Source organism: Homo sapiens, chromosome 13, assembly GCF_000001405.40.
Source record: "Homo sapiens chromosome 13, GRCh38.p14 Primary Assembly".
In the NCBI taxonomy this organism is placed as follows: Eukaryota; Metazoa; Chordata; class Mammalia; order Primates; family Hominidae; genus Homo; species Homo sapiens.
Genome location: NC_000013.11, coordinates 26,253,345 through 26,278,022, shown reverse-complemented (window position 1 = coordinate 26,278,022; position 24,678 = coordinate 26,253,345). Strand labels below are relative to the sequence as shown.

Genomic DNA, 24,678 nt, shown 5'->3' with positions numbered 1-24,678 from the left:
TTTGTTACAAAGTTCCTCCCTATGTTTAGTGCCAAAGTCATTGGTCACAGTTCTACACTTGGGGGTCACAAAACAGTTGTGTCCCTATTCTACGTAACAGTAAAGCAAATATTTGAACTAGTACCCATATGGGAGAATATGCTTATGCTGCCCCCTTGATTTATACCTCAGAAGGCTTAAAATAGCTTAATTCCATTTAGTAACTAAATACGAATCTATCATTCATAAATATACCTAAACTTTTAGAGAATTAATTACATTTTCAGTTTCAAAATAAAGTGCTTCTATCCAACTGTCTTATTTCAACACTGGGGGTAAAAATAAACAACAGTTCATCAGGCTGAGATTTAAAAACAAGTTCAACTTACCTATATGATCACAGTCTTCTATACTTCAAATTCATCCCTTTAACTTCCAAGTTGAAACACCCAAACCCTTTTAGTTTATATACTATGGTACCTTTCTCCTTGTCATTTTGTGTGCCTTTCTCCAAACCTGCTCTAGTTCTTATCTTCCTATAATGTAACAACACTTGCCAAAAGTAAAAAGGTACTATGACTTTGCACAATAGTAGGATTACATTTTTTACTTTGTTTTGAACCAGTATCCAATAAGTACAGTTTACTGAGCCAGGCTTGAATACCTAGCCAGGGCAATAACAGTGAACCTCAATGAGCCTCAATATTTGAAATAAGTCATCTGGCCATTTGCAATCAACAAGTATTTATTAATACAATACTTACTATTTACCCTGTACTAGCAAATATAGGCAAGTCTCTTACAGCATGAGCTTTTATAACATAATGTAGATATAACATCATCAATTGGGGGAAAACTCAGTACACTAAAGCATTATTACTACAACACCAACAGGAATTAGCACAACGTAAATAGGAAAAATAATAGTTGCATCAAAGAATAGGCACACAGAGCTGCATTGTTTGTGTGTTCTTCTGAAATAGAATTGTTTTGTTTACTCAAGCATTCTTTTATTCTTTTGTTTACCACTGGCAGTTGTGAACAGTTCTGCAAGTAAAACTGCATGGTCAAGGACAAATGTGATAGGAGAAGCTAAGAACCTTCTGAGAATGTGGATGGACTCAAGGGTGAAGGAGGAAAAATTTGGTTGTTTTTATTGAATTTAGTCAGCATATTTATTATTTTTAGAGTAAAGCTACATAAATACTTATGTCAGTCCTACAGAAACTCTCCAGTCCTCTTTCTCCAATGAAACTTCTGTTTTCATAAGAGATTTTTCATAATAAGAGATTTGGCAGAAAAACAAACATGATATTACAGCAGAAACAACCATAGGTTGCTATCTGTAAACAGACATATTTAGGATAATCGTCTACCACTAAGCATCTTAAATTCTTCTTAAAAAATATAAATCAGGATAATTGGGCACTGGAGAAATAGGTAATCATAAATGAATGAACAAGAGAGATTAATTAAAAAAATATATTAAAGTACATGTAACTTATATGCCCTTATGATAGCTGGAAAACTTGTTTTGCATCCATTGCCTTATGTTACAAAAAGATCTCTGTGGGATGAATTCATTTGACAGATGAAAAATCAGAAGTGCTCAGAGAGACTGAATGAACTGCTCAAGCTCAAGAGCTCATAAATCACATATAAGATGTCAATCCCAAATCTAATAATATTAGGAAGACAGAAACAGAGCTTGTAAATCATGTATGTCAATCCCAAATCTAATAATATTAGGAAAACAAAATTTAGTAAGAACTCTTACTTACCTAACACAGAAACACTAGAAATATTTCCATTTAAAAATCAAAAGACAAAAATATCTCCAACACTGCCAGTAAGAATGTAAAGTTATTAAAAAGTTATTTAAAAGGTACAGCCGGTTACTCACGCCTGTAATCCCAGCACTTTGGGAGGCCGAGGCAGGCAGATCACGAGGTCAAGAGATCGAGACCATCCTAGCCAACATGGTGAAACCCCATCTATACTAAAAATACAAAAATTAGCTGGCCGTAGTGGCATGCACCTGTAGTCCCAGCTACTCGGGAGGCTGAGGCAGAAGAATTGCTTGAACCTGGGAGGCAGAGGTTGCAGTGAGCCAAGATTGTGCCACGGCACTCCAGCCTGGCGACAGAGTGAGACTGTCTCAAAAAAAAAAGTTAGAGCCAATGCAATAACACCAAAGTTTCCTCAAGTGGAAGTACTAGAAAAGAATAAAACTCTTAATATATATAACATGAATATCTAAGACAGCAAGCTAAAAAATCAGCAATAAAAAATTTAAACTACCTTTATAAGAAATGCAGAAAGTTTACGACTATTTGAGATACATGGTGGGTTAATGAGGATTTATTGAACCGTCTCTACTTTGGAGTACATTTTTTAAATTCTGTAATAGTTAAAAAATATGCACAGGGTTACTAGATTTAGCAAATGAAATACAAGATGTCCAGATAAATCTGCATTTCAGATAAACATAAAAAAAATTTTCATATGTCACAAATATTACATGAGACGTACAGGTGCACAAACTTGTGCACAACACTACTTAAATAGAATACCTTGTAGTAGGCAATATGTAGGACCCATATGAAAAACACTACAAGGCTTTATTAAGGTTCTTAAGATAAAATCTGAATAAAAAACATAACCATATTGCTGAGTATGGAGAGTAATTCATCTATCTATACATTTAATACAATTCAACCCAAATCTCAAAATACTTTTTAGACCTTGAGTTGTTGATTTTAGAGCTTACCTGGAATAAATGGATAAGAAAAACTGTAATTTATTTTTCAAAGACTAACATCAAGGTTCCAGTCTTACCCCAGATATTGTAGATCTTTATTATAAAAGACGTAAAACAACAAAGGGAGTAACACAGGAATAGACAGATCAATGGACTAACACAGAAAGTCCAGAAATAAATTCCAAGTTGGGAATGTAGGGTAATGATAAAAGCAGCATTTCGAATCAATTGAGAAAGAATTATTCAACAGCATTAAAAGGAGTAGAAAAATTAAAGTTAGAACCCTACCTAACAAGTTTTAACAAATCATTTTAAGATTAAATAAAATTTTAACTGTAATTTTGAAACCCATAAAAACATTAGGTGAAAATGTAAGTAAAAGGCATATAATGGAGAAAACTCAGAAGCAATAAAAGACTGATACATTTGATTACACATTTAAGAAGTCATAAATATAAAAACAAAGAATTGGAAATTCTTACAACATGAATAAAAAAATGAATATCCCAATAAACAAAGCACTTAACAAAAAGAAATATTTAAGAAAATGTAGGCCAGACGCGGTGGCTCACACTTGTAATCCCAGCATTTTGGGAGGATGAGCCGGGCGGATCACGAGGTCAGGAGAATGAGACCATCCTGGCTAACATCGTGAAACCCCATCTCTACTAAAAATACAAAAAATTAGCCAGGCGTGGTGGCGGGCGCCTGTAGTCCCAGCTACTCGGGAGGCTGAGGCAGGAGAATGGCATGAACCCAAGAGGCAGAGCTTGCAGTGAGTGGAGGTCGTGCCACTGCACTCCAGCCTGGGCAACAGAGCAAGACTCCATCTCAAAAAAAAAAAAGAAAGAAAGAAAACATAACAGAAAACACGCAAAATATGATTGGGTAATTCCGAAAAGAAATTAAATGATGAATAAATATGAAATTAAAAATTTAAATGTTAAACAAATGTAAATAAAACCAAAATTCCATAGGTTGCCTATCAAATTTGCAAAGATCAAAGAAAACAATAATAAAACTATTGATCAAGGAGGAGGCAAACATTACTTTTGTCATTATGAAAGACATTACAAATTAGTTCAAACCTTCTAGGAGAAAATCTAGCTTCATATATCAAAAACCTTAAAAATGGATCCAGCAAACCCACTTCTAAAAATCTTTCCTAAGGATAAAATCATGAGTGTCTACAAAGATGCAGCAACAAAATTTTAAATGTAATGAAAAAGTGAAACTATGCTAAATGTTTTTTAAAGTACAATCATATAATACAATAAATACAGACATTAAAACAACAGAAAGATTTAGAAAGATGATTAGTGACATGGAATATACACAGTCTATGCAGGTTTCAAAACAATGTGCACAATATAATCTAATTTTAAAACATGCCTTAAAAAAGTCTGTGTGGCCAAATTAGGGTAAATTTTATTTTCTTCTTAGACTTTACTTGTATTTTCTACAATTGATAGTTATTCTGTAATTTAAAAGTATAAAACTTTTTTTTTAAGTAACAGCTGACAATAAGGAGAAGAATAAAGGAAAACACCATAGGTAGATGAACTCCGAAGACCTAGCTATTTAGTACAAAAGCCAATAGTACTATATATATATATATTTTTTAAAGCACCTGGAAATAACATATGATGGCTAATGTTTTACAATAGTTAGTCTGAACTGCACAGAAAAAGTTAAACTGTGTTCCAAGTATATCATATATGTGTATGTATAATTTTTATTATATAATACCAAATAAATGACTTTCATCCACAGTGATTAAAATAAAGATTTAGTGAATAAAAAGTGAATCAGCTACCCAGAAAACTTTAATTACCTGGAACTAGACATACATTTCTAACATATCCAACATTATAATCTATTAGAAAAGTGAAAAATAATACCAGATGTAGTGTTTAAACTTCATGAACTACAAAAAAGTCAAAACAATCTTGGCAAAAAAGAAAGTACACTTCCAAGTTTCAAAACTAACTACAAAGCTACAGCAATGAAGACAGTGTAGTACCAGCTTAAGGACAGACATATTGAGAGACCAGAAAAATATCCTATATTTATGGCCAACTGATTTTTAACAAAGTATGCCCAAACAATTCAGAGGCTGGGACAACTGTATATCCATCACCAAAAGAAAGAAGTTCAACCCCTTAGAGACCTAAATCTAGGAGTTACAACTATAAAACTCTTAGGAAAAAACATAGAAGTTTTTGTGGCCTTGGGTTAAGCAATGTTTCTTTAACATATAATATCAAAAACACAGCCACAAAAGCAAAAATAGATACACTGGACTACACCAAAATTAAAAACTTTTGTGCTACAAACAATACCAACAAGAAAGTAAAAAGACAAGCCAAATACAGTCATGCACCATGTAATGATGTTTCACTTGAAGACAACAGCACATAGGGAGGTTGTCCCATAAGATTAAAATAGAGCTGAAAAATTCTTCTCACCTAGTGACACTGTAGCCATTGTAACTTCATAGTGCAAAGCATTACAGGCACGTTTGTGGTGATGCTGGTGTGAAGAAACCTACTGCACTGCCCGTCATGTATAGCACATACCGTTATGTACACTACATAATACTTGATAATAAATGACCATGTTACTGGTGTATGTATATGCTATACTATGGTTTTTATCATTAAGAGTGTACTTCTTTCTTCATCCCCAAGAGGTCAATAAAAAGTAAAGAGTGTACTCCAGTTTGACTTATTCTTTTTAAAATTAACTGTAAAACTGCCTCAGGCAGGTCCTTCAGGAGGTATTCCACATCAAGGCATTATCATCATAGGAGATGACAGCTCCATGTCTGCACTACCCCTCAGACCTTCCAGGGGGACAAGATGTGGAAGTGGAAGACAGTGATACTGATGATCCTGACCCTGTGTAGGCCTAGGCTAACATAACAAACACGTTTAAAAAGCAAAAAATAAAAACTTTTTTTTCTTTTTCTTTAAAAAAAAAAGTTTGGTCTTGAACTCCTGCCTCAAGCAATCCTCCCATCTCAAGCCTCCCGAAGTGTTGGGATTACAGGTGTGACCCACTACGCCCAGCCAAAAACTTTTAAAAATAGAAAAAAGCTTACAGAATAAGGATATAAAGAAAATGTTTTTATACACCTATACAATGTTTGTGTTTTAATCTAAGTTATTATACAAGAATCAGAAAGTTTTAAAAAACTGAAAAGTTTAAAGTACTCAATTACAGGAGGCTAAGGTTAATTTATTATTGAAGAAAAAAATTTAAATAAATTTAGGGTAGCCTAAGTGTACAGTGTTTATAAAGTCTACAGTGGTGTAAAGCAATGTCCTAGGCCTTCACATGCACTTACCACTGACTCACCCAGAGCAACTTCTAGACCTGTAAGTTCCATTCATGGTAAGTACCCTACACAGGTATACCAATTTTTATGTCTCTCTCTTAAAAAAAAAAAAAAAAAAAAAAAAAAAAAAAAAAAAGACAGGGTCTCACTCTGTCCCCCAGGCCCTCTACAGTGGTACAATTAGAGCTCACCACCGCCTCAAGCTCCTGGACTCAAGCAATCCTACCGCCTCGGTCTCCTGAGTAGCTGGGACTACAGGCAAATACCACCAAGCCCAGTTAATTTTTTAACTTTTTTGTAAAGATGGGGTATCAAGTATACTGCCCAGGCTGGTCTCAAACTCCTATGTCCTCAAGCAGTCCTCCCACCTCAGACTCCCAAAATGCTGGAATTGCAACCATGAGTCACTGTACCCAGCTCATTTTTTACCTTTTATGCCATATTTTTACTATACCTTTTCTATATTAAAATGTGTTTAGATACACAAATACTAACCACTGTGTTACAAGTGCCTATAATAGTCAATACAATAACATACTGTACAGGCTTGTAGACTAAGCAATAGGCTACACCATATAGCCTAGGTGTGTTGTAGGCTATACCATCTAGGTGTCTGAGTATGCTCTATGATGTTCACACAATCATAAACTTGCCTAATGCTGCATTTCTCAGAAAGTATCCCTGTCATTAAGCAACACACAACTGTATTTGCAAATCATATATCTGATAAGGGTTCAGTATCCAGAATATACAAAGAACTCCTACAACTAACTACTAAAAAGACAACCTAATTTTAAACAGCAAAGCATTTGAATATATTTTCCCACAAAGATACATGAATGGTCAATAAGCACATAAAAAGATACTCAACATCATTAGTTATTAGGGAAATACAAATCAAAACCACAATAAGATACCATTTAATACCCTTAAGGATGTCTATTATCAAAAAGGCAGAAAACAAGTGTTGGCAAGAACGTGGAGAAATTGCAACCCTGGTGCACTGCTGGTGGGAACGCAAAATGGTGTAGCAGCTGTGGAAAACAGTTTGGAGGCTACTCAAAAAGTTAAACATGAGCCGGTAATTCCACTCTTGGTTATAATGAATACCTAGGAATTGAAAGCAGAGACTCAGATAGTTGTATACCCATGTTCATAGCAGCATTATTCATAACAACCAAAAAGTAGAAAGAACCCAAATATTCACCAGCCCAGGAATGAACAAAATGTGATATATGCTACAACATGGATGAGCCTTGAAAACGTTTCATTAAGTGAAGGAAGTCAGTCACAAAAGAGCACATATTGTATGATTTCGTCATTTATATGAAATGTCCAAAACAGGCAAATGCAGGGACAGAAAGGAGATTCCTGGATGTCTAGGACTGAGGATTAGAGGAAACAAGGAGTGATTGCTAATGGGTACGGGGTTTCTTTTAGAGGGACCAAAAATATTCTAAAATCAGATTGCGGTAATAGCTGCACAACCCTGTGAATATATCAAAAAGCACTAAACTGTGTATGTGTGTGTGTGTGTATTTTTTTTTTTTTTTGAGACAGAGTTTCGCTCTTGTTGCCCAGGCTGGAGTGCAATGGCGTGATCTTGGCTCACCGCAACCTCCACCTCCTGGGTTCAAATGATTCTCCTGCCTCAGCCTCTTGAGTAGCTAGGATTACAGGCACCTGCCACCACACCCAGCTAATTTTCGTATTTTTAGTAGAGATAGGGTTTCACATGTTGATTAGGCTGGTCTCAAACTCCTGACCTCAGGTGATCTACCTGCCTCGGCCTCCCAAAGTGCTGGGATTACAAGAGTGAGCCACCACACCTAGCTAAACTGTATATTTTAAATAGATGAATTGTATGGTATATGAATTATATCTCAAAAAAGCCATATTAAGAAAAACTTTATGAACCACAAATGTATATAACTTTTTGGAAGGTATTACTAATATTTTTCCATGAAGACAATTGGGATTTAATATCCCTACTTTGCACACTGCAACTAAATCAAAATTACTTCTTAAACACTTAACTATCAAGTTCTCCTGCTCTAAAAAATAAATAAATAAATAAATAATAAGTAACTAGTAGCAAATGCTATCTTCTATTCCAAAACTTTTCAAGAATATAGTACAGAATTTTACTAAGAAAAAAACCTAATTGCACTACATTCTCATTTGAAAACCACCAAGCACATTTTAAATTCAGTGAGTCCAGTTACTCAAAGTGCAATAGAAATACAGAAAAGACACTACATGATCAAAGTCAAAGCAAGATTGTTTTAAAGTGACATGTACTCAGTATTTTTTGCTTGCATTGAAATTTTCATGTACTTAGGAACATCAGACTGAATCACCTTTTAGAATAGAATGATCCCATAAAAAAAAAAACAATCTAAAGAGAAATAGATCAAGTAAGAGAGGTATGTGCTACTTTGATCGATTTCCTTAAGTTTTTTACTTACTTCCGAATTTAGCTTATGCCACAAACTTAAAGGGGATCTGCAGAGGTCAGCTAGTCTTGGCTAAAACACTGACAATATCGACTTTCAGCTCCAGGATATCTGGTTTAAATTCTCAAGCACAGCTGGACTCATTTGTACTAAAATAGGTTTTTAGATAAAAAGATAAAAATATATGTGTATTTCAGCTTCCTATCTATAAGGAGTACTTTCCAAAGTCTATTAAGCAGTCATTGTATCCATACTATCAAGAATTATGTTTAGCAGTACTTAAAAGTTTCTTCAGAATTAACAAAATACATCAGAGCTGTCTTACAATCACCTGGCTGCTTACCTAACATGAATGAGTACTTCTGTTAAACATGAAGTCAAGCAATTCTACTGGCAACAGAAAGGGCTCCAGCCTCTCATTCTATGGAGGCAAGTCCATAAGTGAACGCAACTGAGAAAGGCAACAATAAACAATGTCAAAGCCAACATCAGTATGAAACAGAAAAAGCAAGCCAAAAAGTGAGGAGAAAGGAAAAAAATCAGGAGTAGGAATGTCAGTGCTGGGTAGGAAATGAGAGGATGACCAAGGCCAACCAACAAGAAATGGAAAGAAAGATGATCTAAGCAAGAGTAAGAGAACTACAGGTCAGTGCTAAATAAACTGCATGGAGGTAGAATACCAAGAGCATCAATCATTTGTCACAAATTGTAGCAACATTATCAAGTTGGAATAGAGAAATCTGATGAAAGTAAACATAAAATAAGATGTAAAAATAATGAAATAACTGTAATTTTAAATACCTATATGGCTCTCGAGTTTTTTTTAATCCCCACCAGTAATCTAAAATACACAGGATTAGCTAAGTATGGTGGCATAGTCCTATAGCCTGTGCCTGTAGTCCTAGCTACTCAGGAGGCTGAGGCAGGAGGAACACTTGAGCTCAGGAGTTCTAGACCAGCCTGGGCAACATGGCAAAACTACATCTCTACAAAAAATACAATAATTAGCCAGATGTGGTGACACATGCCTGTAATCCCAGCCATTCAGGAGGCTGAGGTGGGAGAATGGGTTAAGCCCAAGAGTTCAAGGCTGCAGTGAGCCATGACTGCACTACTGCACTCCAGCCTGGGTGACAGAACAAGACCTTGTCTCAAAATAAAATAACATACACAGGACTGTGTGTGTGTGTGTGTGTGTGTGTGTGTGTGTGTGTGTGTGTGTGTGTGTGTTGGGGGAGGGGGGAGCAAAACTTTCAAAAAAAAATCTCAACAATTCTGACTTTACAATGTATTTAACCCCATGATTCAAACATGTCATTACTATATTTACTCCCATTTCTTCTTTCCAAAAAGTTTTGTTTTTGGAGTTTTGATGTGAGTGTAATTGGTGCAACATTTTTAGAGGACAAAGATTAGACCTCAAAAGAGTCTGGCCCAGGCCTGGGAAGAGATATTCCTAGGAAACTGACCTGCTTGCAGTGATCTGCTAGGGTTGTTACCAGTTACTTGTACTTGAGCATGGTGATCAGAGTTTCTAGAACCATTGAAGGAAGCCAGGAGGGATAAAACTCCCTGTGGATTTAGCAAAGGGAGCTTCTCTTGCTTGATGGAAACCTCACTTTCTGCCAGTGTATCATCCATGGCAAATGTCTCCATGGAGAACTTTGGGAGCCTGGGAAGTTCTACCTCCATCTGACAGCATGTTGTATACAAAGACAGACGCAAAGGACATTTATTGCAGTTCTGTTTCAATGAAAACAACCTAAATGTCCTTGCACTGGACCAGTATATTATACACATAAAACAAAACGATGAACTGATAAAATGAATTGAGTTACAGGTGCTGATATAGATCTCCAAAACATATGAACTGAAAAAAGCAAAGCACAGAATAACACATATTTAAATTTTTTTCCACGGTCATGCATTATCTGCTCAAAAAGAATAAAGTACTAAAGTAAATTTTGAAGTCTACCCATACATATATTTGCTTCTATATGCAGATACACAAGGAGCCACTGGTAATAATTATCCCTAAAAAGTGGAAGCTCAATCTGAGGTAAAAGGGGGACTTAGATTTTCCTGGGTACTCTTATGTACAATTTAAATGTTTTATCATGAGACTATATTAATTTCATAGTCCCATCTTATTTCATAATGAAATATAGTTGTTGAAAGTATATGACCTTTGACCTGAAATTCTACTTCAAGGACTTCATATGACACTGGAGAACTGCACGCATATTTACTGACATCCCTTGCTAACTGCAATGGCTGTAATTTGGAGATTACTTCAACATCTATCCCTAAAAACTGGTTGACTACATATTTATTAATATATGCATATGTATCATCTGATATTCAGCAATAATTAAAAATGCTGATTTAGAGCTACGTTTACCAACATGGAAAGATGCATAATATTTTTGAATGAAAAAATGTAAGATCATAGATGTTATTAATGTATACATATATTCAAAGTCATCTGGAAAGACAAGGAAAATATTAATTGTCTCCTAATTATAGAGTTAGGGTTTTAAGAATACATTTCTGGACTACTTGAATTCATCACAATGAAGAGTCATTATTTTTATAATCAGAAAAAGAAAAAGCCATTTTCTTTTTATTAAAAAATGAGAAATATCCTGAATAGCATGGAGTACAAAATAAATAAATGGCATCTACAGGTTTCACTTCAGTAACACAGCCAGCAGAGAAACAGGAATGGCAGTGATGCTTTTCATTGCTTTGCTCTGAATAAGGCTAACCATCAAAGTACCAAAAACACTGAATAAAACCTACAAAGTGTGTTATGACTTAAGCTTTGGTATCCAAAAATCTTTAGCTGAAGTTTTATTTCGTTTATTTTATTTAACCCAGACACTTCTTTATCTCCCTTGCCCTCTGAGCCACATGTGACACTTCCTATCTCTGACTCCTGGAAAGACTCTTCCTGGCTGTTATTCTACCTACAAGGTCCTAGTATTTCTCCAAGCTGCCCTGTACAGCCAGTAAGCTGTACACTCCACGGTTCCTGTTATACAATATGGCAACCTTGGGTTTTCTCCTTTCTAGACTCAATTTTTGGCCTCCTAGGTAGACATCTCTTTCTTCGCACTTTATACAAGGCCCTTGTCTTGCTCTATACACTCTCCCTAGGCAATTTCATCACCACTGAAAGCTACCACTTTAAGTACTTTAAGTACATAGTCTAACTCTAGCCAGACTCCTCTCTTGAGCATTAAATTTACATATCTGCCTAATGCACATTTCTTCTCAGATGTTTAACAGGTACCTGAAAGTCAACATATCAAAGCTCAATCATCATCTTCCACCTCAAGCTTGCTCCTCTTTCTGTTTTGGCTATGTGAATGGCAATATCCAGCTGCCCAAGCCAGAAACCTGGGCATCATCCTTGGTTCTCACTTGTTCATCTATCATATCCAATAAATCAACAAGTCCTATCATTTCTCCCTCCTCATCCCCTCTCTCACTTCCCTAATTCAAGTCACTAGCATCTCTCACCTGGATTACTATTACATTCTCCTAACCACAGCTTCCTATGGCCATTCTGATCGTGTTACCAAGCAATCTTTTTAAATGAGAAATCGGAACTTATTACTATCTGCTTAAGACCCTAAGCATGGTTCCCACTGACTTCGGAAGAAAGTACAAAATCCATGACTTGATTTACAACAATCTGCTTACTTCCCCAATTTGATTATTTATACCTCTCCCTCCACCCCTCCAAGATCTGGCATGGAAATTCTTTCAATTGTCTCACCGTACATACCATCTTTCCTTCATGTCTTTGTGCATGCTACTCAGTGGCAGCTGCAAAGGATAGCTTCCCCCCATAATACACAAGCTCCCAAAATTACCTCAAATAAACAATTTCAGTTGCAACTTGCTTACTACACATTACTGCACTGCCTCTTCATCTAGACAGCACCGTCTTCCTTATAAAGTAATTCTGGAGCCACGAGTGATATTACCTCTCTCACCTGCACTATAACTCCTCAAGCCCCCACTAACTCTTATTTATTGCCCATTCACAATTTCTAATTATCTTTCAAGTCACAAGTGAAATATACTTGAGCTCCCCAAGGGCAGATTAGGTACTTCCATGGCAACCTACAATTTTCCCTACTGCAGCCCTTATCCTACTATATTACAATTGTTTACCTGCCTATGCCCCTCAAAAGTCTGTAAGTTCCCTAAAGAGTTATTAGACCATGGGCTGTTCACTGCTGAATCACCTACATCTGGCACAGAACCTAGCATAGTTGGTGGGAATGTAAACTAGTACAGCCACTATAAAAAACAGTACGAAGATTTCTCAAAAAACTAAAAATAGAATTACCATTCAATCCAGCAATCAAAGAGATACTGGGTATCTCTACCCCAAGGAAAAGAAATCAGTATATCAAGGGGATACCTACACTCGCATGTTTATGGCAACACTATTTACAACAGCAAAGGTATGGCATCAATCTAAGTGTCCATCAGCAGATTAATGGATAAAGAAAATGTGGCATATATTCACAATGGAATACTATTCAGCCACAAAAAAGAAGGAAATCATATCATTTGCAGCAACGTGAATGGAACTTGAGATCCTTATGTTAAGTGAAATAAGCCAGGCACAAAAAGACAAATATCATATGTTCTCATTCATACATGGGAGCTACAAAAAAATGAACACAAGGATGTAGACAGTGAAAAATAGATAAAGGGGACTAGGAAGGGTGAGTGGGGAGGGAGGAGAGGAGGAGAAGTGAGTTAAAGGGTGCAGATATAGATTAACGTAATAGAAATAAATTCAATGTTTGATAGTAGAGTAGGAGTACTAAACAAAAATGCACTGCAGTCTGGTGATGAACTTCCTAAGTACCCTGACTTCACCACTATGCATATATACATCTAAGAAAATTTCTCGTGTGCCCCATAAATTTGTACAAGAACCAATCATATAAGAGACATTCAGTAAATAGTTACCAAATAAATTATAAGCACACAAATTTACAAAAAGAACTGCAGCTACTGGGAGGGGTGACGTGCTAGTCCCACCCACTTGGGAGGCTAAGGTGGGAGGATCAGTTGAGCCCAGGAATTCAAGGCTGAAGTGAGCCATGATTGCACCACAGCACTCCAGCCCAGGGAACAGAGTGAGACCCTGTCTCAATAAAATTAATTAATTAATTAATTTTAAGAAAAAAAAGAACGGCAGCTAAAGGCAAACCATAATGAAATGCCAAATATTTAAATAATTTAATTTTACACTTTAAAAAATCAACATTAAGTCAGCATTAAAAAATAAATTACAAGTATGTCTTGCTTTCTGTCTGACATTTTCTTGGAAATTAGGTATAAACTTAATTTTTGCAAAGAAAGTCACATAATAAAACATTAGGAGACTCATTTACTTAAAGGGAGTCTTGGCTGGGAGCGGTGGCTCACGCCAGTAATCCCAGCACTTTGGGGGGCCCAGGTGGGCGGATCACGAGGTCAGGAGATCAAGACCATCCTGGCTAACACGATGAAACCCCGTCTCTACTAAAAGTACAAAAAAATTAGCCGGGCGTAGTGGCGGGCGCCTGTAGTCCCAGCTACTCGGGAGGCTGAGGCAGGAGAATGGCGTGAACCCAGGAGACGGAGCTAGCAGTGAGCCGAGATCGTGCCACTGCACTCCAGGCTGGGTGACATAGCGAGACTCCGTCTCGAAAAAAAAAAAAAAGGGAGTCTTTTAGCCGGGCGCGGTGGCTCACGCCTGTAATCCCAGCACTTTGGGAGGCCGAGGCAGGCGGATCCCTAAGGTCAGAAGTTTGTGGCCAGCCTGACCAACATGGTGAAACCCCATCTCTACTAAAAATACAAAATCTGCCAGGCTGGTGGCACATGCCTGTAATCTCAGCTACTCGGCAGGCTGAGGCAGGAGAATCTCTTGAACCAAGGAGGCGGAGGTTACAGTGAGCCAAGATCGTGCCATCGCACCCTAGCGTGGGCAACAAGAGCAAAACTCTGGCTCAAAAAAAAAGGTAATACCTACTCCCGGCCGGGCGCGGTGGCTCACGCCTGTAATCCCAGCACTTGGGAGGCTGAGGCAGGCGGATCACGAGGCCAGGAGATCGAGACCATCTTGGCTAACACGGTGAAACCCTGTCTCTACTAAAAATATAAAAAACTAGCCGGGTGTGGTGGCGGGCGCCTGTAGTCCCAGCTACTCGGGAGGCTGAGGCAGGAGAATGGCGTGAACCCGGGAAGCGGAGCTAGCAGTGAGCGGAGATCGCGCCATTGCACTCCAGCCTGGGCAACAGAGCGAGACTCCGTCTCAAAAAAAAAACCGAAAAACAAAAAAAACCTACTCCTTCTTTCCTCAAAAATATGACTTGTTTAATATAAACTACATTAGCACGACTTGACAAGTTTTCTTTTTATTCAATCCCTTTAGTCCTCTAAACAACCTATAGATTCAAATGTCTAGAAACACCCAGAGTAGGCCCTTCATCATGATGTAAAAATTCCTCTCTGTAGGATGATTATTTGTTAGAATTCATGGATTACAATAAAGTTATAGACTTTAAAGAACTTGTCTAGTGAGATGAGTAACTGAGTTACCTTGAATAGAAGTTAGTCTAAATAATTTTTTACTCATGTAACAAAAGGTAAATTTCAAATAAAACGATCATGCTATACAGACCAGTGATTTTAGGCAAAATTAAATGCCAACTGTGATTCAGAAACTAATTACGTTTTCCTTAATTTTAGAAATACAGATTTGATCCACATTTTAAAGGGTTCATTTTCAAAGTATATTTCAAAAAAATATTATTTCTAGTGGCTCAATTTTCAAATACCTTGGCCTTCCATTTCGATTCAGCCAACTACCGAGCTTGCTCTTGCCTTTGGATTGATTTTGGTATTGTTCAGTGCCATTCTGGGTAAAAACATAGGAAACCCATCAAATTTTGCTTCTCCTGGTATTTTCACAGGTATTACTTTTCTACTCTTCCCGTAATATGCCTCAAGCTTTTAATGTTAGCAAGTTTAGAAAAAAGATTTTCAAACATGAATTTCAGATACACACACACACACATACACAAAAGTACAAAATACCTGTCAAAATTTGGCAATATGCCAAGAGCTGGGGAGAACACAATCATTGCCCTAAAGGAAATCTATAATTTTAACCCATAAACATTCACCTGAAAGACCCAAAGGACACATAAGCATTAACCACATATACACTGAAGTAGTTACATAATATATCAGTGAATGACTATGTTTTGCAGGGTGACGGGTAAAGTGGGACTTATTGGAGTTGTATGTTAAGATACGTAGTTAGGATTTTTTTCTGAGGCTGTCAGTACATTTCAACTGAGAAAAAAGCATTTCCAGCACAAGGTGCTGCCTGAGACAAAAAAAATTCCAGCACAAGGTGCTGCCTGAGGAAAAGGTCAGAGTGGTCTAAGTTGATGGAGGAGAGCAGCTGTATGAATCTCTGTTTCAGAATTACTGCAATAGATTATGGTGTGAGCACTGTCCTGGAATAAAATAGACTAGTCAGGTCTTGTACACAAAGAACAAAGAACTTGGTCCTAAACCAAAGTCAATGTAAAGTCACTCAAAATTGGTTCTCAGCTGCTTTGGATATGATCCAGAAATTCCACTCCCAGGTATATACTGAAAACATACATCCACCTAACAAGTCACACATAATTGCTTATCGAAGCATTATTCATTTTAGCCAAAAAGTGGAAACAACCCAAACGCCCAATTGATGAATATATAAACAAAATGTGGTATATCTATACAATGCAATATGATCCAGCCATAGAAAGGTATGAAGTACTGATACATGTACCACATGGATGAACCTTGAAAACATTACATTAAATAAAGAAACACAAACACAAAAGGCCACATGTTGAATTAGTCCATTTATATGAAATGTCCAGAACAGGCAAATCCACTGAGACAGAAAGTAGATTAGTGCTTGTCAACGGCTGGGGAGAGAGGGGAATGGGACTGACTGCTTAATGGGTTTCTTTTTGGGGTCATGAAAATGTCCTAGGATTAGACAGTGATGGTGGTTGCACAGCCTCGTCGATCTACTAAAAAACACTATACTGATCACATACTTTTAAAAGGGTGAATTTTATGGTATGTGACTTATATCTCAATTTTTAAAAAGGAGCTCTCAGCATTTTTTCTGCTACAATACATCTGAAGAACATAACTCCATCAGTAAAGGCAGCTTACTACAGCAAGGACTGGTTTTGGGACTTTGACAATAACTATATTAAAGAATATTCAGAATCATGATACCAACAGTCTTTAAGTACTAAGGTCAAAACAACAGGTAAAAGCCACCTTTTAGTGACATCAAGAGCTGCCTTGAGGTGATAAAAGATTGCTAAAGAGAAAAGATAATTTCTAAGTAACATGACCAAGGCTACGTAATCTGGTGTGAAGGAAAAAATTCACAAAGTGTTCTGAAGGAGGAAAGGATAGTAGGAGTTTTATTTTCTAGCAGCAGCTAAGAACAGAAAAAGAGTCAAGAGACAATGAGGATTGGATTCAATAGTGAAAGGCACTACAAGAAAGATTAACACCAGTCACAGGGAATCAAATGTATTTATCAACACTGATTTGCCATACATAGTTCCCATCTAACAAATGAATCACATTTCAAATGTTTATAAATCAGAATTAGAACACATTTGCCCAGAGAATTAATTGTCAAAGTAGTTACGTTTGCAAATGGCCTATAATAATTATAATTTTTCATTATTTCTGTTTTCCTAGCTGAAATTCAGCATGCCAGAAGCCCTGTCCCTACCTTTCATCTTTCCACACATCAGAGCCCCAACAAGAGAAATTCCATTACTTCCTAAACTCTAAGTAGCAAAAGAACTTCTTTCCCCTTCCAATTTGTTACCATCCATCACCTCAGCAGCATATGAAATTCTGACTCCTTACACCTCATGGAGGTGAGGCCAAAGCAGAATCATTTGCCAACCAGAGCCCCAGGCAAAACAGAGTTCTGCCATGGCAGTTTTACACATGAGAGAGTCTTAAATCAGACCCCTGGATTTCAGAGGCTGCTTTTCTTGAATGGCCAATGTTCTCATGATTGAAAACTGACACACACACAATTATGGTGTTCGGTGCAAACGCTGATAAATTTATCTCCACTGTTAAATAATGAGTACCTCACCATGTCCAACGGGTACAATGGAACATTTGTAGTGCATATATATACTACTACACGTACAGCAAGAACTCAAAAAATGCTGGCCAGGGAAAACAAGGGGAAAAGAAAGGCATGGCAAGGAAAAATTAAAACCCACAAAATTTGCTGGGGTCTGCAGAAAATACAATTTTAAAAAAAATCCCTTTGTCCTATTCCTGTTGGAATGTCTTTTCTGATGAGACCTTCCCTGTCTTCTATGATCCAAATCAAATACTGTAAACTTTGAAGCTTTTCCTAAAAACCTTAACCAGTTGGGGACTTCCTTCTCTGTGTTGCCATATACCTTGCATTAATTATTATAGTGCTTATTGAATTGCAACATTTACATGTTTGTTTCCCCAGTAGTTATCTCCCCAAATAATGGAATACTTCATTCGTCTTTGCATTCCCAATACCTTGGACAGTGCTTGGCACATAGAAGGGTCCAATAAATACTTGTTGAATGAATGAGTAATTGACTTCTTCAAATGTTCAAAGACACAGTAAAAGTAATAACTCACATGAACAAATCCCAAATGAATTGATTTTCCAGTATTGCTACTAAAAAAATGAAATTTAAGCATGAAATCTCAACGTGGCCTAAATAGCGGATCTGAATGCACTGATATCTAAGGTAGGTAACTTCAACCACATGGAAATAAGAAGTACACAGCAAATACAGTCATCCCTCAGTATCCACAAGGGGTGCGTTCCAGGACCGTCCCCCAAAATCCACAGATGCTCAAGTTTCTAATATAAAATGGTGTCCTATTTGCATATAACCTACGCATATCCTCCCACACACTTTAAATCATCTCTAGATTACTTATAATACCTAATAAAATGTAAATGCTATGTAAACAGTTGTTATACTCTATTTTTTAAGGAAATAATGACAAGAAAAAAAATCTGTACATGCTCAGTAGAGATGCAACTATCCTTCCCCCTACCCCCTCGAAAATTTTTGAACCACAGTTGCTTGAATCTACAGATGCAGGACCTGCAGACACAGGGGACTAACTGTCCTCTTCTGTCACATTTTTAGAAGGTTATAAGGAATACTCTTTATTGTATACATGACTATTCCAGTGATAGAAATTACATATTGTATTTGGCATTTCTGACATCTAAAGAAATATTTAAATCAAAATGAACTTAGATACAGCATTCAGCCATATTCAGAAGGGGAAAAAGGTAATGGGATGCTCCAATGCAGGTTGAATCAGAAGAGTTCCTTTGTGCTGCCCACCAACTGAATGGTTCAAGGGAGTGGGAACAGGCACTAGTCCATAAATCCTCAATATCTTAAGAGATAAATACAGAGGAATGGCAAGGTAGCGTAAGACATGTTGGGTTAAGTAACTGATAGGTCTTTGGGAGTTACCAAGCTTTTTGGCAGTTGATGAGAACCAACGTTAAAGCATGAGACTAAAAAATATGGAAATGCACCATCATCTAAAGTAAAATTTTTTAGTGGTTGTTTGCCTAATCTTGCAAAAAATATTACATTTTATGTTCATAATTTTTACTTCCTCAAATCATAATACTAGAAAAGACCCTAAAAATTATATGCTGAAACCCCCCTACTAAGAGCTATAAGGGCAAATGACTTGCCCAAGGTCATACTGCTATCAGAAGCACAGTCTGAATTCAAATTCAGGTTTCCAGGATCGCTCATCTAGAGTTCTTTCCACTAGATGAAGTGCTTCCACATGGCTTTCATTAGAGTTTAGTCCTACACACACACACACACACACACCCCTCTAGATACACAAGTATGTTTGTGTATATACGTACAGACACACCCATATATCTACATAAACAGTTTTATAGCACTTGAAAAAAAGGGTGCTTCAGCAATATACCCAGAAAGTACACCAGTTTATTGAAGCAAATATTAATAGTTCTACAAGGTATTTATGTTTTTGAATAACCCACTAGAAATCAAACTCCATAACTATTTTTTTACTTATTCAATATATTAATTATAGGAAGCATAATGGTTAAGAGCATGGGCTCTGGAGTGAAAAACCTGCGCCTAATCCTCTAATCTTAGCTGACATTTAATTAGCTGTGTACTCATGGGTAAATTTGCTTAACCTTTCTAAGCCTCAGTTTCCTCAACTGGAAAACTGAAAAATAACAGAATTGACTTGATATACTTCTTGTGAGGACTAACTAGATGATGAATGTAAAGTGCTTTGCCCAGGACCTGAAACTTAATTACTCAGTAATTTAGCTATTATTGCCATTATCACTGCCTACTTACTAATCTCTGGGCTCTCAACAAATGTGCCCCAAAGAAAGTTGGCAGTATCTCTCTCTCTCTCACACACACACACACACACACACACACAAACACACACTCATTCCTCACTCATAATTATCTATTCTTTGGAACATAGATTATAACAGATTAAAAACCCTGCTAAGAAAATGCCTTTTGTTTTTCTTTTTTGAAGAAAAACCTCTTATCCCAAATTGATATTTTAAATTATCCAAACATTCAGTGCAAATATTGAAGTCTAGAATTTAAAAACACAAATTGTTTTCTGTCTTCTAACGCTCTCTTACTCTTTAAAACAAAATTAGTTTGGTTGCCTAAACTCTGCAAAGAGGAGATACAATCAACTCAGAAAGAAAATGAACCCCCCTGCTTCCCACTGAGTACTCTTTAAGTGTTCAGACACAAAGGACACTATCTCATTTACGGCGACACGAGTGAGAACAAATTAATCCCAAGATTTATTGTGCATTTCTTTAAACTCTATTATAATGTGAAATTAACAAAGTTATAAAAGGTCCCTTTTCCCTACTATGCAATCATGCCTCAAGTAAGTCAAAGAAATGAATCTTTGAAGCTATTTTATTTCCTAAAACTTAATAATTTAAGCAGCTAACTTCTCTGGTCTAAATTATTTTACCAATTATTCATGTTCTATGCTCACTGGGCAACTGAAAGGATACAACGTTTACATACATTCATTTCAATAGTCAAATATGTCTAAACCAAGCTTATTTGCGTTACTTCCTTTTATAGAAAATCTCAGGTTCTCCTTAAAGGTGTTACTGTCTGAGTTCCTAGAGAACAAATCTCAGCTGCAGAATATATAATGTAATTTGAAAGTAAATCAATACTAGAAACAAATTATTTGATCATCATCTTATTATGAAAGATTAAACAGCCACAAATTTTATTTTACCAGGACTAAAATGCATTAAATTACATTTCACTGACATAAGATCAAAAGAACCTCATAAATACTATGCGATACTTTACCAGAGTGAGGTTACAAAGAGAAGTCAAACCGAAAAAAATCCCTGTAATTTTAAAACTCTCTAAAACTATCTCTAAAAGATAGTAATTTTAAAACTCTCTTGACATTTGATCCATTAAAAATAGAAGTTCATCACATAAAGAGAATCATTAAAGACTGATGGAAAACAAACTCCAAGGATTACAAATAATAAGTTCTTTTTTCCAAAATGCAATGTTACTTTTCAGCTGTCACAGATGACTAAGAATGTCCATACATTATACCTTCAACTATCTTTAAATTCAAAGATATTGAAATTATTCTTTCAAATTATTCTTAACGGCCTAAATTAAAACCTGACCATAGAGATATAAAATGTGCTTAAGTACCCCCTGCCAATACACAGTATTAGTTTTCTAATAAAATGTACAACGTTAAAACAAATATGCATATTTTATTAGCTTAAATTGGTAATTTATGAAAACAGAACCGGCTTCTCTCACACAGATTAAAAATAATGCAAAGGCGCTAGAATTTTATATAACATGTCAGTTTGGTCAAATGTACTGTAATGTCTAATCTCATGGGATTGGGGATTTTATGAATATGCCCAAAATTACATAATACTGGGGGAAGGGGAGATGGTTTAAAGCTTTTGAGAAATATTGTATGGTGAGTTAACAAACATAATTTTAAAAATATATGTCATTACAGAGTAAAACTTCAACAATAAGTCTAATTAGACAACAACAGAGTCAGCAATATCTCCAGACGCTGATTTCTCCAGTGTCACCAGACTATCCATTCCGCTAAAAAGTACTTTTAAATACGTGCGGCGCCCAGAATATCAAGTTTTCAAATCCAAATCCCTACCTTCTGCCGATCTGTTCCACTTTACTGTTGCATAAAAGCACTAAAATACACATTCTAAATTAATTAGAACTCCTATCTTCCTCGTAGAGTCCATTGTAAATACTTTTAGAAAGACATTTCAGTAAATCTAAGAAAAATGTCCAATAAATATACACTTTCCTTTCCAACATCCAGAATACTAAAGTATTTGTAAATATGCGCCCCCCTACCCCACAGTAGGGAACTTCAGCTTTATGAATTTTTTTTTCGTGCTAATGTAGTCTGAACATACTCTCCTACCTAATTGGAAATTTTAAGTGATTAAACATCATACAGCAGGTGACTAAACTGGGATGCTCAAGTAAAGCTACTTCGTTTCTAATAAAATCCAAGGATTATATAATAAGCTTTGACTTTTCAATAATTTTCTATTCTGTCAAAGGCAACAGAGACAACATCCATTTTACAAGAAAACATGGAGTTAATAAAATATATTTTCCCCCCAACTAAGAATTGCCTTCTCTTTTGTCAATATTACAAGACATTCATCTACTGACAAAGAGAAAAAATGAACAATTCACTTGCCTGTTAAGAAACTAAATTGGAAGCATTACCAGTCATAGGTTTAATTAAGTTGTTACTAGGGAAGAATATTTAAAGCAAAGGGATTATTTAAAGTTCACTGCCAGCCGCTAAATTTGGGGGAAACCGCCTGAACGAGATAGTCCCTATGTCACTTGCCTTCTTCCCCACCACCCACCCTGCACCAAACCCCCATTGTTCTATGTAAAAATTCACAGCTAATAATATCTAAATAGCAATTGCAACATTTATGTTGCAGATGATCACTATGGGGAACTCTCTCCAGAACCACATTCACTCGCTGCCTTCCTTTCCTCAAATAAAATACAAATTTGATAAAAAATCGATCACAAACTGGTGGGGGAAAGGATCACAGCCTTCCTTCTAGACCGATGGATGACACTCCAGAGGCGGGTGAGGAAATCCCCAGAAGGTTACCATAATAAATCGACCAAGGAAAAAAAAAAACAAAAAACATTTAACCCGGCGTTTTAGAACGAATTTTTTCATGAATCAGCTTTGAAATCCTTGAAAAGTATACAGCCCACGGTGCAGAGGCTCATCTTGCCTCTTACCACCAGAGCAGAACACAGACGCGGCACGCAGGATTTCTCGTGGGTTTGGATCCCTCGTACACCACTTCCTCCCCAAACCTGGCTGGCGGAGCCAGAGGCCGGCGTCGAGGAAGTCAGAGCCCGGCACCCCGGCGGCCCGCTCTCCCTCCGGGCTACCTGCCTCGGCCTGCGGGAGCGCCGCCCAGCGCGGACACCGGCCCAGACACACACACTCACCCATCTTTCCTCTTGGCTTTGTAGACGTGACCATAAGTGCCTCGGCCAACTTTGCAGCCCTCGTATTCAAACAGGTCCTCGACCCGCTCCCGCTCGCTGCTCAGCTTCACTTTAAAGTCATAGTCCATTGTCACAGCCTCTGAGGCCGGAGAGCTGGGTCGGGGGGCCGGGGGGCAGGGGTGGGGACCGGGGAAGCACGGGCAGCCGCAGCCCCCGGGAACCCGCCCGCTCTACGCCCGCCGGCCGCAGCACCAGCCCGACTGATGCGGCAAGAGCAGGAGGAGGCCCCGCGAAAGCGCCAGGGACATCCAGGGGGACGGCGGGGCAGAGGCCGGCCGGGGGTGGAGGAACGGGGAGGATCCCCCGGCGAAGGAGAGCCGAGGGACGAGGGCTGGGGGTGGGGAGCGGTGTCTCTGCCCTTGTCCCCGCGGGCTCCCTGGGCGCCGGCTCCGCCGCTCTCTCCGGCCGCGCGTTCTGCTCCTGCTGCGGCGGGAGCGGCGGGGCGGCCAGGCGGGCTCTCGTCCTCTCACACGCGCACTCACGCCTCACGCTCTCACACACACGCTCACACTCACTCACTCACTCACTCTCCCATACACTCAAACAGAAGGGCAGAGCCGCACAACAGCCGGTACCTCCTCAAAGAGAGGAGGAGGGAGGGCACTCGCGGAACACGGCCGCGGCTGTCGCAAAAACGTCGCGAAGCCTCGGGCTGCCTCCGGGCCACACTCTAGCCCGCTCCCGCGGTGGCTGGCCGCCCCTGCTGGCGCTGGCACCCTGAGGACCGTGTGGAGGGAGCAGGGGAGCCACTGCCCAAAGCTGCCGCCAAATGCACCACGTGGAACCAGCCCCAGCGGTGGCCGGGCCCCAGACTACAATACCCAGAATGCACAGGCCGCCGCCGCTGCCGCCCCTTCTACGACTCCGCCCCACACGGTGGGAATATGGGAGCGTTGCATGATGGGACTCGTAGTCTAGGGTGAAATTCGTTTCAATCATTTGGGGAAAATTTATTTTTATTTTTACAGCGATCTAACTAGAGTCTGATTTCAGCCACAAACTTGATCAAAGAGGTGCACGTGGGAAGGAGAGTCGTTTGCATTAGAAACACATTTTGTGCCACTCTGAACTCCAGATTTTAAAGGCCACTATCATCGATAAAAGCCGGTATGATATTTGTAAACAGCTCGCGGGCCAGCAGTTGGGGTACTCTTGGTGTTCACAATCTGATAAGGGCTGCACAATGATGTCAACATACTGACATTACAAGCACCAATAAAAGTGAATCAATGACCAGTGTCCAAGCTACTCCTAAACATTGTTACTCTTGTGACAGATGACCATCCAAACCTTTCCTATCCATATACAGGAAGTATTGAGTACAGTACAGCCTTCTGCGATACTACCTATAAGAACACCAGTTTC

General features: G+C 38.0%; 1 protein-coding gene across 4 annotated transcripts in view, besides 1 other annotated feature; it reads right to left on the bottom strand.

Moving 5' to 3' along the window:
• The window catches only part of CDK8 (cyclin dependent kinase 8), a 151,110-nt gene extending 127,216 nt beyond the window's left edge, over positions 1-23,894 (bottom strand). For all 4 annotated transcript variants that reach the window (XM_047430033.1, NM_001260.3, NM_001318368.2 and 1 more), the window contains exon 1: positions 23,254-23,894. Coding sequence is in view for 2 of the 4 variants with exons in the window: in NM_001260.3 (NP_001251.1) it covers positions 23,254-23,381 (128 nt within the window). In the remaining 2 variants the exon portion in view is untranslated. The remainder of the gene's footprint in view (positions 1-23,253) is intronic.
• Positions 23,290-23,889: a silencer, noted in NCBI's record as "silent region_5186". NCBI's record gives its function as "represses an Ori minimal core promoter by ATAC-STARR-seq in GM12878 lymphoblastoid cells {active_cell/tissue: GM12878}" and the evidence as "EXISTENCE:reporter gene assay evidence [ECO:0000049][PMID:35858748]".